The sequence below is a fragment of the Homo sapiens genome, chromosome 10, assembly GCF_000001405.40.
Source record: "Homo sapiens chromosome 10, GRCh38.p14 Primary Assembly".
Classification (NCBI taxonomy): Eukaryota; Metazoa; Chordata; class Mammalia; order Primates; family Hominidae; genus Homo; species Homo sapiens.
In genome coordinates, this window is record NC_000010.11 from 44,047,860 (window position 1) to 44,049,508 (window position 1,649).

Below are 1,649 nucleotides of genomic sequence, written 5' to 3' on the forward strand. Positions count from 1 at the left end.
CCTGGGATGCAGGCCTGTTTTCACATACCCCCATCTCCCCTTCACGCCCGTGCTTTTGTTCTACAGACATTCTGATTGGAACTTCTCTCTATATTAATCTCAAACCTGCCCCAGTCTTTAGCTGTCAATCCCTGATTCTAATTCTGTTGTCTGAATTGCAACAGAATAAATGCATTTTTTTCCCATGTGATTGGTCTTCAAAAATCCAAAGACTTCTAGAATGTTCTCCCAAGTCTACACTTCTCCAGGTTAACTACATTTCTTCAGTGCTTCCTCAAACCTCCCAGACTCTTCTCCCATCGTTTCTTCTTCCAATGTGTCCGATGTTGGTGGTCATCACTCCTAAAATGTTGCATCTGGAATGGACCGCAAACTTCCAGACAGGGATCTGACTGTGTTGTTAGAAACATCCCCTGCCGTGGACTCATATTGTGCAGACACTATTGAACTTACACATTCTTAGGTCCCCTTTTGTTTGTTTGTTTTGTAAATAAAAACCATTATTTGTATTTCTTTATTCAATGATTTATTTCTTGTCTTCATTCCTGAAAGGATTTAAGGTGTCTCTTAAAAATATAATGCCATATGTAAACTAGCAAAGGGATAGTATGAATAGGGAAACTATGGACAGACAAAAGTTTATACTGGCCATAAAATGCATTCCAGAATGTCCTGCAACCTTGCTATAGGTGACCCACACATGTGGCTGGGTTTCCTAGCAACAAGAAGAAAGGAGGTAACATCATTTGCATGTCAGGGTGCCCATAAAGAAAGCACAAGCCAGTGGCTCAGGACAGGCATAGCTATTTCTGGTACTGAGACCTAAGAGAAATATTCCTCATAGGTCTTGATAGAGGACACTAGGTGATGTAGCTCTCAATGACATCCTTAGAGCAAACACAGTCCATTTCCTAAGAATTTAGGTTGCTTTCAAAGTCCCTGAACTGTTGCTGATCTTATGCCCTATCCAGCGTGATGGTTTTGGCAATTGATTTTTTTGTGACAAATACTTATCCCTGCTACATTTTAATGTGTATTTTAGGGAATTCATATTGAAAAAGGAAAATTGAGAAGCTGAATGAGAGCACCCATTTCACTCAGTGTCCCATAGGGCGCCCTTTGATTTTGGAAATTGTCTTGATATTCATCCCATTTGCAGTTGGATCACATTCTTATAACATTCCCCCGGGGCCCTGTTATTATTGTTATATTTTAAAATGAAACATGTTTTGAGGCCAGGGACATTTGTAAGAGGCTCTCTGTTCTGATTTTTAGTTCCAGGCAGGTCTAGCTAGAACCTGGGATTATGCAGGGCATCTGTCCCTCTGAGGTATAGAACAACCTCTACTCTCCTGAAGCCCTAGATCCCAAATGTCTCCATCCAGGTACAAGCAGAAGGGAAGGGTGGGGCTGTTTCCATATGACAGCCTGAGAAGCTCCTGTGACAGGGAGAGAAGATAGCCTGGTGGAATTCCTCTAGTCAGGGACGTGGGCAGGGTGGAGGGATTCTCATGTGGATGGAAGTAATACACTAACCTGAGTGAATGCTCACACACCTTCATGTGCTGGGCACCAGGGCCCTCGCCCTCTCACTGCTCCTCCAGCTGGGCCTGCTGGCAGTGAGGCTCTATCTCTACCATCTGCTCAAA

General features: G+C 43.2%; 1 annotated feature.

Annotated features, from left to right (window-relative positions):
• Positions 1,183-1,352: an enhancer, noted in NCBI's record as "experimental_12630 CRE fragment used in MPRA reporter constructs". NCBI's record gives its function as "activates a minimal promoter by MPRAs in K562 erythroleukemia cells, with activity observed for both the introgressed and non-introgressed 10:44544575 variant alleles {active_cell/tissue: K562}" and the evidence as "EXISTENCE:reporter gene assay evidence [ECO:0000049][PMID:34662402]".